General features: G+C 39.3%; 1 long non-coding RNA gene across 1 annotated transcript in view; it reads right to left on the reverse strand.

Moving 5' to 3' along the window:
- PIK3CA-DT (PIK3CA divergent transcript) overlaps positions 1 to 15,136 on the reverse strand; it is a 46,603-nt gene that overhangs the window by 21,289 nt on the left and 10,178 nt on the right. The window contains exon 2 of the long non-coding RNA NR_125401.1: positions 10,110 to 10,212. This is a non-coding gene — a long non-coding RNA (PIK3CA divergent transcript). The remainder of the gene's footprint in view (positions 1 to 10,109; positions 10,213 to 15,136) is intronic.

Below are 15,136 nucleotides of genomic sequence, written 5' to 3' on the forward strand. Positions count from 1 at the left end.
TGGAAAGATATTCCATGTTCATGGATTGGAAGAATCACTATTGTTAAAATGCCCATACTACTCAAAGCAATCTACAGATGCAATGCAATGGCTATCAAAATACCAAGGACATTCCTCACAGACATAGAAAAAACAATCCTAAAACATATATGGAACCACAAAAGACCCAGAGTAGCCAAAGCTATACTGAGCAAAAAGAACAAAACTGGGGGAATCACATTACCCCAGTTTTTTATACACACACACACACACACACACACACACAGACATATAAATTTGCACGTGTTTAATTTTTACAGTTTACATATACATACCTCAATATGTAATATATACATATATATAAACTGTAAAAATTAAACTAAGTGATTTAAAAAATACAATAGTATTTTATCTTTATAAAGTGAAGGTGGATTTTCTGTTGCTGTTGTTGTTTGAGACAGGGTCTTACTCTGTAGCCCAGGCTGGAGTGTACAGTGGCAAAATTTTGGCTCACTGCAACCTCTGCCCCCCAGGCTCAAGTGAATCTCCCACCTCAGCCTCCCAAATAGCTGGGACTACAGGCATGCACCACCATGCCTGACTAATTTTTTGTATTTCTGGTAGAGACAAGGTTTCACCATGTTGCCCAGGCTGGTCTTGAACTCCTGAGCTCAAGAGATCTGCCCACCGCAGCCTACCAGAGTGCTGGGATTATAAGCGTGAGCCACTACGCCCAGCCAGGATTTTCTTTGTATGACACCAAGCCTGAAAACTAAACAGAGAAAAGACTGGTAGACTTGACTATATAAACATTTAAATATTCTGTACTATGCAAGATATCATAAACAAAATTAACAGATAAATGACAAACTGGGAAACAATATTTGTAACATATAGAGAGGGGTTCCAAGATGGCTGACTATAGGCATCCAGCACTCACCTCCTCCATGAAGAAAAACCAAAATAGCAAGTAGATAATCACACTTCGAATAGAGCATCTAAGACAGAACACTAAGATTCAACAAGGAAATGACAGCAAACACCTGAGGCATGGAAGGAGAGGAAAAGCAAAGTATCCAGTTAGGCCAGGATCAGCTGGGAACCCAGAGAGGTTTCTCAGTGCAGGCAAAGGGTAAGCGAGAGATCCCCAGCAGTCCACATTCCCACCACAAACTCTCATAACTCTAGCCATTGGAGAGCCCCTCAACCTTCTTGGGCCCTTAGCCTCCACTAACAACCACAGCCTAAGCCACTGAGGAAATCACAAACAACACTGACATTATTTATAGCCAAAGAAATCATACAGAGACTACACTACTGCATGCACCTAGAATCAAAACCAAAATGTCCAACCCAACCAACAGCACAGATACATCTTCAAGAAAAAATCTTGCCCTAGGAAATCCAATCCAAAAATTGGAAGAAATAACTGTTATACCAGATGTGCAGATAACAACATAAAGACACAGAAACATGAAAAAGCAAGGAAATATGATGTCTCAAAAGGAACACAATAATTCTCCAGCAACAGATTCCAATAAAAAAGAGATGTATGAAATGCTGGGAAAAATGTTCAAAATATTCATTGTAAAGCTTAGTGAGAGACAAGAAATCACAGAATACAAAGGAATCAGAAATGTGATTCAGGATATGAATGAGATAGATATCATAAAAAAGTATGATACAGAAATCCTGGAACTGAATAATTCAATAAATAAAATTTAAAAATACATTTCAGAGCTTCACCAGTAGACTAGATCAAGCGGAACAAAGAATTTCAGAACTTGAAGACAAGTCTTTGAAATAATCCAGCCAGACCAAAATTTATTTAAAAAAAGAAAAGAAAAAGAATGAACAAAACCTATGTGACATGTGAGACATCATAAAATAATCAAATGTTTGAATTTTTGGCATTCCAGAAGATGAATAGAAGACCAAAGGAATAGAAAGCCTATTTCATGAAATCATAGCTTAAAAGTTCCCAAGTCTAGTCAAAGACTTAGATATCTAGATACAAGAACTCAGAGTTCACCAAATTGATACAGTCAAAAAGGTCTTCTCCTAGCACATTATAATCAAATTGTCAAAAGTCAAAGACAAAGGGAGACTTCTAAAAACAGCAAGAGATAAGCATCTATCATATGTAAGAGAACTCCCCTGACCCCTGCCATCAGATTAACTATGGATTCCTCAGCAGAAACTTTACAGGCCAGGAGAGAATTAGATGATATATTCAAAGTAGTGAAAAAAAAAAAAAAAAGCCAGCCAAGGATACTATACCCAGCAAAGGTTTCCTTCACAAATGAAGGAGAAAGCAAGTTTTTGTTTGATTCCCAGACAAGCAAAAACTGAGAGAATGCATCACCACTAGTCTGATTCTATAAGAAATGGTTACGGGGTCCTAAAACTTATAGTAAAAAAATTGCATCTACCATCATGAAAACACATAAATGTATAAAACTCACTGCTATAGCAAACATACAAATAAGGCAGAGAAAGGACTCAAATGTTACCACTATAGAAAACCATCAAGCCACAATGATAAAACAATAAGAGAGGAACAAGGGATATACAAAACTACAAGAAATCAAATAATAAATCAACGAGAATAAGCCCTCACATAACAATATTAACCCTGAATGTAAGTGAATTAAATTTTCCACTTAAAATTTGTAGGCTGTCTGAATGGATAAAAAAAATTACCCAACTATATGCTGCCACAATAAACTCACTTCACCTGTAAAAACACATATAGCCTGAAAGTAAAGGGAATGAAAAAAACATTCCATACAAATTGGAAACCAAAAGCAATCAGGAGTAGCTATACTTACATCAGACAAAACAGATGGTAAGTCAACAATGGTAAAAAGAGACAAAGATGGTCATAATATAATAATAAAGAGATCAATTCAGCAAAAAGATATAACAATTCTAAATATGTATGCAACCAACAATGGAGCACCCAGGTATATAAAAACAATATTATTAGATCTAACAGGAGAGATAGACTCCAATACAATAATAGTTGGAGGCTTCAACAACCCACTCACAGCATAAGAAAGACCATCTGGATAGAAATTTAACATAGAAATATTGGACTTACTGCACTTTAGACCAAATGGACATAAGAGATATTTACAGAATTACATTCTGTAAATTGCAGTTGCAGAATATACATTGTTCTCATCAGCACATGGGACATTCTTTAGGATAGATCATATGTTAGGCCAGAAAACAAACCTCAACAAATTTTTTAAATCAAAATTATGCCAAGTAACTTCTCAGACCAAAATGGAATAAAATTAGAAATCAATGACCAGAGGAACTTCAGAAACTGTACAAGCAGAAATTAACACATTCCTGAATGACCATTGGGTCAAGGAAGAAATTAAGGGGGAAATCAAAAAATGTCTTGACACGAATGAAAATTTAAATACAGTATACCAAAACCTATGTGATATGGCAAGCAATGCTAATAGAAGTTTATAGCAACAAACATCTACCTCAGAAAAAAAAAACCCACAAAGCTCTCAAATGAACAACCTAATGATATACCTCAAAGAAACAAAAGCAAGAATAAACCAAACCCCAAATCTGTAGAAGAAATAATGAAGATCAAATATAAGAGCAGAACTAAATGAAATAGAGACTAAAAAGATCAATACAAAGGATCAACAAAACAAAAATGGTATTTTTGTTTTTGTTTTTGAGATGGAGTTTCGCTCTTGTCGCCCAGGCTGGAGTGCAGTGGCATGATCTTGGCTCACTGCAACCTCCGCCTCCCAGGTTCAAGCGATTCTCCTGCCTCAGCCTCCCAAGTAGCTGGGATTACAGGCACCTACCACCATGCCCGGCTAATTTTTTGTATTTTTAGTAGAGACAGGGTTTCGCCGTGTTGGGCAGGCTGGTCACGAACTCCTGACCTCTGGTGATCTGCCCGCCTCAGCCTCCCAAAGTGCTGGGATTACAGGCGTGAGCCACCACGCCCGGCCCAAAAGCGAATTTTTTTTTTTTTTTTTTGATTTGGTTAAAACAAACCTTTGCTAAAAGGCAGCACAGAGTAATGCTTGCCTGTAATACTTTATTTTTTTATTTTTTTATTATACTTTGTTTTAGGGTACATGTGCACAATGTGCAGGTTAGTTACATACATATACATGTGCCATGCTGATGCGCTGCACCCACTAACTCGTCATCTAGCATTAGGTATATCTCCCAATGCTATCCCTCCCCCGCCCACCCCACAACAGTCCCCAGAGTGTGATGTTGCCCTTCCTATGTCCATGTGTTCTCATGGTTCAATTCCCACCTATGAGTGAGAATATGCGGTGTTTGGTTTCTTGTTCTTGCAATAGTTTACCGAGAATGATGATTTCCAATTTCATCCATGTCCCTACAAAGGACATGAACTCATCATTTTTTATGGCTGCATAGTATTCCATGGTGTATACATGCCACATTTTCTTAATCCAGTCTATCATTGTTGGACATTTGGGTTGGTTCCAAGTCTTTGCTATTGTGAATAGTGCCGCAATAAACATACGTGTGCATGTGTCTTTATAGCAGCATGATTTATAGTCCTTTGGGTATATACCCAGTAATGGGATGGCTGGGTCAAATGGTATTTCTAGTTCTAGATCCCTGAGGAATTGCCACACTGACTTCCACAATGGTTGAACTAGTTTACAATCCCCACCAACAATGTAAAAGTGTTCCTATTTCTCCACATCCTCTCCAGCACCTGTTGTTTCCTGACCTTTTAATGATTGCCATTCTAACGGTGTGAGATGATATCTCATTGTGGTTTTGATTTGCATTTCTCTGATGGCCAGTGATGGTGAGCATTTTTTCATGTGTTTTTTGGCTGCATAAATGTCTTCTTTTGAGAAGTGTCTGTTCATGTCCTTCACCCACTTTTTGATGGGGTTCTTTGTTTCGTTCTTGTAAATTTGTTTGAGTTCATTGTAGATTCTGGATATTAGCCCTTTGTCAAGATGAGTAGGTTGCAAAAATTTTCTCCCATTTTGTGGGTTGCCTGTTCACTCTGATGGTAGTTTCTTTTGCTGTGCAGAGGCTCTTTAGTTTAATTAGATCCCATTTGTCAATTTTGGCTTTTGTTGCCATTGCTTTTGGTGTTTGAGACATGAAGTCCTTGCCCATGCCTATGTCCTGAATGGTAATGCCTAGGTTTTCTTCTAGGGTTTTTATGGTTTTAGGTCTAACGTTTAAGTCTTTAATCCATCTTGAATTGATTTTTGTATAAGGTGTAAGGAAGGGATCCAGTTTCAGCTTTCTACATATGGCCAGCCAGTTTTCCCAGCACCATTTATTAAATAGGGAATCCTTTCCCCATTGCTTGTTTTTCTCAGGTTTGTCAAAGATCAGATAGTTGTAGATATACGGCATTATTTCTGAGGGCTCTGTTCTGTTCCACTGATCTATATCTCTGTTTTGGTACCAGTACCATGCTGTTTTGGTTACTGTAGCCTTGTAGTATAGTTTGAAGTCAGGTAGTGTGATGCCTCCAGCTTTGTTCTTTTGGCTTAGGATTGACTTGGCAATGCGGGCTCTTTTTTGGTTCCATATGAACTTTAAAGTAGTTTTTTCCAATTCCGTGAAGAAAGTCATTGGTAGCTTGATGGGGATGGCATTGAATCTATAAATTACCTTGGGCAGTATGGCCATTTTCACGATATTGATTCTTCCTACCCATGAGCATGGAATGTTCTTCCATTTGTTTGTATCCTCTTTTATTTCCTTGAGCAGTGGTTTGTAGTTCTCCTTGAAGAGGTCCTTCACGTCCCTTGTAAGGTGGATTCCTAGGTATTTTATTCTCTTTGAAAAAATTGTGAATGGGAGTTCACTCATGATTTGGCTCTCTGTTTGTCTGTTATTGGTGTATAAGAATGCTCGTGATTTTTGTACATTGATTTTGTATCCTGAGACTTTGCTGAAGTTGCTTATCAGCTTAAGGTGATTTTGGGCTGAGACAATGGGGTTTTCTAGATATACAATCATGTCGTCTGCAAACATGGACAATTTGACTTCCTCTTTTCCTAACTGAATACCCTTTATTTCCTTCTCCTGCCTAATTGCCCTGGCCAGAACTTCCAACACTATGTTGAATAGGAGTGGTGAGAGAGGGCATCCCTGTCTTGTGCCAGTTTTCAAAGGGAATGCTTCCAGTTTTTGCTCATTCAGTATGATATTGGCTGTGGGTTTGTCACAGATAGCTCTTATTATTTTGAGATATGTCCCATCAATACCTAATTTATTGAGAGTTTTTAGCATGAAGGGTTGTTGAATTTTGTCAAAGGCCTTTTCTGCATCTATTGTGATAATCATGTGGTTTTTGTCTTTGGTTCTGTTTATATGCTGGATTACATTTATTGATTTGCATATATTGAACCAGCCTTGCATCCCAGGGATGAAGCCCACTTGATCATGGTGGATAAGCTTTTTGATGTGCTGCTGGATTCGGTTTGCCAGTATTTTATTGAGGATTTTTGCATCAATGTTCATCAAGGATATTGGTCTAAAATTCTCTTTTTTGGTTGTGTCTCTGCCTGGCTTTGGTATCAGGATGATGCTGGCCTCATAAAATGAGTTAGGGAGGATTCCCTCTTTTTCTATTGATTGGAATAGTTTCAAAGGAATGATACCAGTTCCTCCTTGTACCTCTGGTAGAATTCGGCTGTGAATCCATCTGGTCCTGGACTCTTTTTGGTTGGTAAGCTATTGATTATTGCCACAATTTCAGATCCTGTTATTGGTCTATTCAGAGATTCAACTTCTTCCTGGTTTAGTCTTGGGAGAGTGTATGTGTCGAGGAATTTATCCATTTCTTCTAGATTTTCTAGTTTATTTGCGTAGAGGTGTTCGTAGTAATCTCTGATGGTAGTTTGTATTTCTGTGGGATCCATGATGATATCCCCTTTATCATTTTTTATTGTGTCTATTCTTCTCTCTTTTTTTCTTTATTAGTCTTGCTAGCAGTCTATCAATTTTGTTGATCCTTTCAAAACACCAACTCCTGGATTCATTAATTTTTAAGGGTTTTTTGTGTCTCTATTTCCATCAGTTCTGCTCTGATTTTAGTTATTTCTTGCCTTCTGCTAGCTTTTGAATGTGTTTGCTCTTGCTTTTCTAGTTCTTTTAATTGTGATGGTAGGGTGTCAATTTTGGATCTTTCCTGCTTTCTCTTGTGGGCATTTAGTGCTATAAATTTCCCTCTACACACTGCTTTGAATGTGTCCCAGAGATTCTGGTATGTTGTGTCTTTGTTCTCGTTGGTTTCAAAGAACATCTTTATTTCTGCCTTCATTGCGTTATGTACCCAGTAGTCATTCAGGAGCAGGTTGTTCAGTTTCCATTTAGTTGAGTGGTTTTGAGTGAGTTTCTTAATCCTGAGTTCTAGTTTGATTGCACTGTGGTCTGAGAGATAGTTTGTTATAATTTCTGTTCTTTTACATTTGCTGAGGAGAGCTTTACTTCCAACTATGTGGTCAATTTTGGAATAGGTGTGGTGTGGTGCTGAAAAAAATGTATATTCTGTTGATTTGGGGTGGAGAGTTCTGTAGATGTCTATTAGGTCCGCTTGGTGCAGAGCTGAGTTCAATTCCTGGGTATCCTTGTTAACTTTCTGTCTCGTTGATCTGTCTAATGTTGACAGTGGGGTGTTAAAGTCTCCCATTATTAATGTGTGGGAGTCTAAGTCTCTTTGTTGGTCACTCAGGACTTGCTTTATGAATCTGGGTGCTCCTGTATTGGGTGCATATATATTTAGGATTGTTAGCTCTTCTTGTTGAATTGATCCCTTTACCATTATGTAATGGCCTTGTCTCTTTTGATCTTTGTTGATTTAAAGTCTGTTTTATCAGAGACTAGGATTGCAACCCCTGCCTTTTTTTGTTTTCCATTTGCTTGGTAGATCTTCCTCCATCCTTTTATTTTGAGCCTATGTGTGTCTCTGCACGTGAGATGGGTTTCCTGAATACAGCACACTGATGGGTCTTGACTCTTTATCCAATTTGCCAGTCTGTGTCTTTTAATTGGAGCATTTAGTCCATTTACATTTAAAGTTAATATTGTTATGTGTGAATTTGATCCTGTCATTATGATGTTAGCTTGTTATTTTGCTCGTTAGTTGATGCAGTTTCTTCCTAGTCTCGATGGTCTTTACATTTTGGCATGATTTTGCAGCCGCTGGTACCGGTTGTTCCTTTCCATGTTTAGCGCTTCCTTCAGGAGCTCTTTTAGGGCAGGCCTGGTGGTGACAAAATCTCTCAGCATTTGCTTGTCTGTAAAGTATTTTATTTCTCCTTCACTTATGAAGCTTAGTTTGGCTGGATATGAAATTCTGGGTTGAAAATTCTTTTCTTTAAGAATGTTGAATACTGGCCCCCACTCTCTTCTGGCTTGTAGAATTTCTGCCGAGAGATCCGCCATTAGTCTGATGGGCTTCCCTTTGTGGGTAACCCGACCTTTCTGTCTGGCTGCCCTTAACATTTTTTCCTTCATTTCAACTTTGGTGAATCTGACAATTATGTGTCTTGGAGTTGCTCTTCTTGAGGAGTATCTCTGTGGCGTTCTCTGTATTTCCTGAATCTGAATGTTGGCCTGCCTTGCTAGATTGGGGAAGTTCTCCTGGATAATATCCTGCAGAGTGTTTTCCAACTTGGTTCCATTCTCCCCGTCACTTTCAGCTACACCAATCAGACATAGATTTGGTCTTTTCACATAGTCCCATATTTCTTGGAGGCTTTGTTTGTTTTTTTTTATTCTTTTTCTCTAAACTTCCCTTCTCACTTCATTTCATTCATTTCATCTTCCACTGCTGATACCCTTTCTTCCAGTTGATCGCATCGGCTCCTGAGGCTTCTGCATTCTTCACGTAGTTCTCGAGCCTTGGCTTTCAGCTCCATCAGCTCCTTTAAGCACTTCTCTGTATTGGTTATTCTAGTTATACATTCGTCTAAATTTTTTTCAAAGTTTTTAACTTCTTTGCCTTTGGTTTGAATTTCCTCCTGTAGCTTGTAGTTTGATCGTCTGAAGCCTTCTTCTCTCAACTCGTCAAAGTCATTCTCTGTCCAGCTTTGTTCCATTGCTGGTGAGGAACTGCATTCCTTTGGAGGAGGAGATGTGCTCTGCTTTTTAGAGTTTCCAGTTTTTCTGCTCTGTTTTTTCCCCATCTTTGTGGTTTTATCTACTTTTGGTCTTTGATGATGGTGATGTACAGATGGGTTTTTGGTGTGGACATCCTTTCTGTTTGTTAGTTTTCCTTCTAACAGACAGGATCCTCAGCTGCAGGTCTGTTGGAGTTTGCTAGAGGTCCACTCCAGACCCTGTTTGCCTGGGTATCCACAGCGGTGTTTGCAGAACAGCGGTTTTTCATGAACTGCGAATACTGCTGTCTGATCGTTCCTCTGGAAATTTTTGTCTCAGAGGAGTACCTGGCCATGTGAAGTGTCAGTGTGCCCCTACTGGGGGGTGCCTCCCAGTTAGGCTGCTCAGGGGTCAGGGGTCAGGGACCCACTTGAGGAGGCAGTCTGCCCGTTCTCAGATCTCCAGCTGCGTGCTGGGAGAACCACTGCTCTCCTCAAAGCTGTCAGACAGGGACATTTAAGTCTGCAGAGGTTACTGCTGTCTTTTTGTTTGTCTGTGCCCTGCCCCCAGAGGCGGAGCCTACAGAGGCAGGCAGGCCTCCTTGAGCTGTGGCAGGCTCCATCCAGTTCCAGCTTCCCGGCTGCTTTGTTTACCTAAGCAAGCCTGGGCAATGGCAGGCGCCCCTCCCCTAGCCTCACGGCCGCCTTGCAGTTTGATCTCAGACTGCTGTGCTAGCAATCAGCGAGACTCCGTGGGTGTAGGACCCTCCGAGCCATGTGCGGGATATAATCTCCTGGTGCACTGTTTTTTAAGCCCGTCAGAAAAGCGCAGTATTCGGGTGGGAGTGACCCGATTTTCCAGGTGCCATCTGTCACCCCTTTCTTTGACTAGGAAAGGGAACTCCCTGACCCCTTGTGCTTCCCGAGTGAGGCAATGCCTCGCCCTGCTTGGGCTCGCGCACGGTGCGCTGCACCCACTGACCTGCGCCCACTGTCTGGCACTCCCTAGTGAGACGAACCCGGTACCTCAGATGGAAATGCAGAAATCACCCATCTTCTGTGTCGCTCACGCTGGGAGCTGTAGACCAGAGCCGTTCCTATTTGGCCATCTTGGCTCCTCTCCCAAAAGCTGATTTTTTAAAAGATAAACAAAATCAATAAACTTCTGGCTGGACTAACCAAGAAAAAAAGTGAAATGACTCAAACAAAACCAGAAACAAAAAAGTTCACATTAAAACCTAGTAGAAATAGATAAATTCCTGGATGCATACAACCTACCAAGATTGAATCGGGAAGAAATAGAATACCTGAACAGGCCAATAATAAGTAATGATGTTAAATCAGTAACAAAAAGTCTTCCAACAAACAAAAACCAAGGACCAGATGTCTGCCAAATTCTACTAAACTTTCAATGAAAAACTAACATGAATTCTTTTCAAACTATTCAAAAAAATGGAAGAAGAGGGAATTCTCCCTGACTCATTCTATAAGGCCAGCATTACCCTGATATCAAAAACAGACAAGGACCCAACATCAAAAACTACAGGCCAATATCCCTGATGAACACAGACACAAAAATCCTCAACAAGATACTAGCAAACCAAATCCAACGACACATCAAAAAGATTATACACCATGATCAAGTGTCATATATCCCATGGTTGCGAGGATAATTCAACATATTCAAATCAATAAATGTGATACATCACATTAACAGAATGATGGACAAAAACCATATGATCATCTCAATTGATGCAGAAAAAGCACTTAATAAAATTCAACATCCTTCATGTTAAAAAAAAAAAACTCTCAACAAACTAGGCATACAAGTAACATACCACAACATAATAAAGGCTATATATCACAAACCCACAACTAACATCATGCTGAATGGGGAAAAGCTGAATGCCTTTCCTATAAGATCTGGAATGGAACAGGAAAGGATGCCCACTTTCACCACTGTATACTAGTCAACATAGTGCTGGAAGTCCTAGCCAGAGCAATCAGACAAGAGAAAGGCGGAAAAGAAAAAGCATCTAAATTGGAAAAGAGGAAGTGAAACTATCCCTCTTTGCAGATGACATGATCTTATATTTAGAAAAACCTAAAGTCTCCACCAAAAAACTATTAGATCTGATTAACAAATTCAGTAAAGTTGCAGAATACAAAATCAACATATAAAAATCAGTAGCATTTCTCTACACTAATAATGAACTAGCTGAAATAGAAATCAAGAAGGAAATCCCATTTATAATACCTACCAAAAAGTAAACTACATAGAAATAACCAAAGTGGGAAAAAAGCTCTCCAAGGAAAGCTACAAAACAGTGATGACAGAAATTGAAGTGGGCACAAACAAATGAAAGGACATCTCATGCTTGTGGATTGGAGGAATTAATACTGTTAAAATGACCACACTACCCAAAGTAACCTACAGATCCCATGAAATTTCTCTCAAAATACCAATGCCATTTTTCACAGAAATAGAAAAAATAATTCTAAAATTTATATGGAAACAAAAACGAGGCCAAATAATCAAAGCAATCTTAAGCAGAAAGAACAAAACTAGAGGCATCATACTACCTGACTTCAAACAGTTACAAGGATATAGTAACCCAAATAAAAATATATTTGAATAAATATAGACATATAAATTAATAGAACAGAATAGAGAACCTAAATATAAATCCACATTTTTTTTACAGCTTACTGATTTTTGACAAAGTCACCAAGAACATACATGGGAGAAAGGACACTTTCTTCAATAAATGGTTCTGCAAAAATTGAATATCCATATGCAGAATAAGGTAGATATTCCATTATATACTAAAATAAACTCAAAGTAGATTAAAGACTTAAAAGAAATATCTGAAAATATAACACTACTAGAAGAAAACACACAGGAAGCACTTCGGGACACTGGTCTAGTCAAATATCTTATGGCTAGGACCTGAAAAGCACAGGCAACAAAAATGAAAACAGAAAAATGGGACTATATTAAACTAAAAAGCTTCTGCACAGCAAAGAAAACAATCAGCAGAGTGAAGAAACAACCGTTGAATAGGAGAAAACATCTGCAAACTATTCATCTGACCAGAAACTATTATCCAGAATATACAAGGAACTCAAACAACTCAACAGCAAAAAGAAAAAAAAAAAAAAAAAGAAACAAAAAAAAATGCCATTTAAAAGTGGAGAAAGGACACGAGTAGACAATTCTCAAAAGACATACAAATGGCTAACGAGTATATAAAAAATACTCAGCATTACCAGTCATCAAGGAAATGCAAATCAAAAATCATGAGATATCATCTTGCCCCAGTTAGAATGGCTATTATTAAAAAGACAAAAAATAACAGATGCTGGCAAGGATTCAGAGAAAAGGGAACTCTTCATAGTGTTGGTGGGAATGTAAATTAGTACAGCCATTATGAAAAGCAGTATGGATATATCTCAAAAAACTAAAACTAGAACCACCATATGATCCAGCAATACCACTACAGGGTATTTATCCAAAGGAAAAGAAATTGGTATGTCAAAGGGATACCTGCACTCCCATGTTTATTGCAGCATTATTCACAATAGGAAAAATATGGAACCAACCTAAGTATCTATCTACCAATTGATGAATAGATGAAGAAAATGTGATCATATATATATATATATATATATATATATATATATGAATACTATTCAGCTATAAAAAGAATGAAATCTTGTCATTTGCAGCAACATAGACAGAACTGGAGGTCATTATGCTAAGTGAAATAAGCCAGGCACAGAGAGACAAATATTGCATGTTCTCACCCATACATGGGAGCTAAAACACTAATCTCATAGAGGTAGAGAGTAGAATGATGGTTACCAGAGACTGGGAAGGGTATGTGTGTTGTGGGCAGAGGATGAAGGAAGATTGGTTAATTGGTACAAACATACAGTTAGATAGAAGAAATAAGTTCTAACGTCCGATAGCAGAGTAGGTGACTATAGTTCACAACAACGTATATTTCAAAATAGCTAGATGAGAGGACTCGAAATGTTCCCAAAACATTGAAATGACACATACTTGAGGTGAGGGATATCGTGAATATCCCTACTTGATCATTACACAGTCTATGCAACTAACAAAATATCACATATGCCCCATAAATATGTGCAAATATTATGTATCAATAAAAATATTTTTAAAGTTAAAAATATATAGTTCATAAGATAGCTCAAATAAACTAATACAAATTTTACTTGTGGATAATACTCTGTGTTTAAAAGATACTATTTGCAAATAATCTATTGCTTCACTCCAAATAAATTGAAAACTATTAGATTTAATTATACTTTGAGATGATACATACTTCTTAATTGTTGAGGGATGTAGATTTTCTTTTCATTGCTAGTGCTTGTCTCTGTAACACATGACACTAGGTGATGTCTGGTGCCACACTTCCATTTGTAATAAAGACCTGTTCCTTTTCTAACAAGCAGCACACATATCAACATGTTTCCCATTCAATTTGAGTCCTTCTATAAATCTAGCACTTTTAATAATGTTTAAGTGCTACGAAAACAGTTTGGTCTCATGGAACTTACTTTCTTGTGCCATGACTCATATAAAGAAACAATAAAACATTTAACCATAGTTTCAAAGTCCTACCTCCAGTATGGTAGGACAAGCCCACTATAGCCTAATTCTCCCTCTAAAGCTCTAGATAAAATGAAATAACTACCTGAGGACTCTGAAAAGTAAATAAAAGTCAGTCAGTCATGGAAGGTAGTCAAAAATGTTGAGGTGCTACCTCCAACAGGTAAGTCTCCCAGGTCTTTGTTTTTCTATCTCATGGCTTTTCCCCCAAGGAAAGGCCCTAGTCACAGAACTGTGCAGAAGAGTAGCAGCATGAGTGGCTAAAACTGCAATAAAAACCTATCTTTCTAGACAGAGGAACCAGGAAAAGAGGCCTCAGAAGGCCAGAATGTGTGGTAATTTCCAGAGAGGAGAGAGCTGGAAAGGGGGATCATCTAAGTCTGTATATGAGCCTATGCAAGACTTGGGCTTATCCCTGAGCTTCGTAAAGGTTGCACAGATCAAAAGAAGCATAGCAAAGGTTTTAAAACCTGAACTAAAATTTAAACTACAAAAGGTGGCTGACTAGAAGCAGCTAGTGTGCACTGCTCTCATGGAGAGGAGACAGAGTGGTAAGTAAACATCAGCTCTTCAACTGAATCATCCAGGAGGACATTCGAGGATTCATCAAGGAAGCAATGCAACCCATGGAGAACAGAGAGGAGTGAGACAGGATAGCTGCTCACCCAGGATTGGTGTGGAGCCAAGGGAGACTCCCCAATCAATGTGGGGAAATGGTGAGTGAGAGCCCCTGGGCACCCACACTTCTGCCATGGACCTTTGCAACCCTGAGCTCAGAAGATCCTTCCTGACCCCTTCCACCTAAGGCCTCTGCACCGACACAGAGAGCTGCATGGAGTCTGGGCAAAGCCACCACTCAGGCACATGCAGAGACCAAGGGGCCCTGGACCCCTACTAGCTCATGGAACTAGTAGCTATAGCTCCAGCAATGGGGGAGGCCAGGCTCTCTCTCATGCCCCTAGGATAAAGGCCAAACCTATATATAGGGCTGAGGAGTGGGCAGACTGAATGCCTCGCCTTTGCTGTACCTTGCTGGACAAGGCCCACCGGCCTGGGACCCCCAGCATGACCACCCCAGCCCCACCTGAGCTCTCAGGCTGGTAGCAGTTCTGCATTTCCCTGGGACAGAGCCCCCAGAGGTAATAGGCAGGCCCACCATTTTTGCCACTGAGCAGCCCCACTCCTACTGGCCTCGGGCTCATGAGAAAGAGCTTAAGGATGACTGTGCTTCAGCACAGCATGGCTGCCTTACGGAAAAGTAGCCGGGACGCCTTCCATATGGGTCCCTGTCCCTGTTACTTTTCACTGGGCAGGGCCTCTCTACCTGGCTGCCAGTACAACTCTGCTGCCCCGACTTGAACACTTCAGTCAGTGGCAGCTCTGCATTTTACTGATGAGGAAATCCCAGAGACAA

The sequence above is a fragment of the Homo sapiens genome, chromosome 3, assembly GCF_000001405.40.
Source record: "Homo sapiens chromosome 3, GRCh38.p14 Primary Assembly".
Classification (NCBI taxonomy): Eukaryota; Metazoa; Chordata; class Mammalia; order Primates; family Hominidae; genus Homo; species Homo sapiens.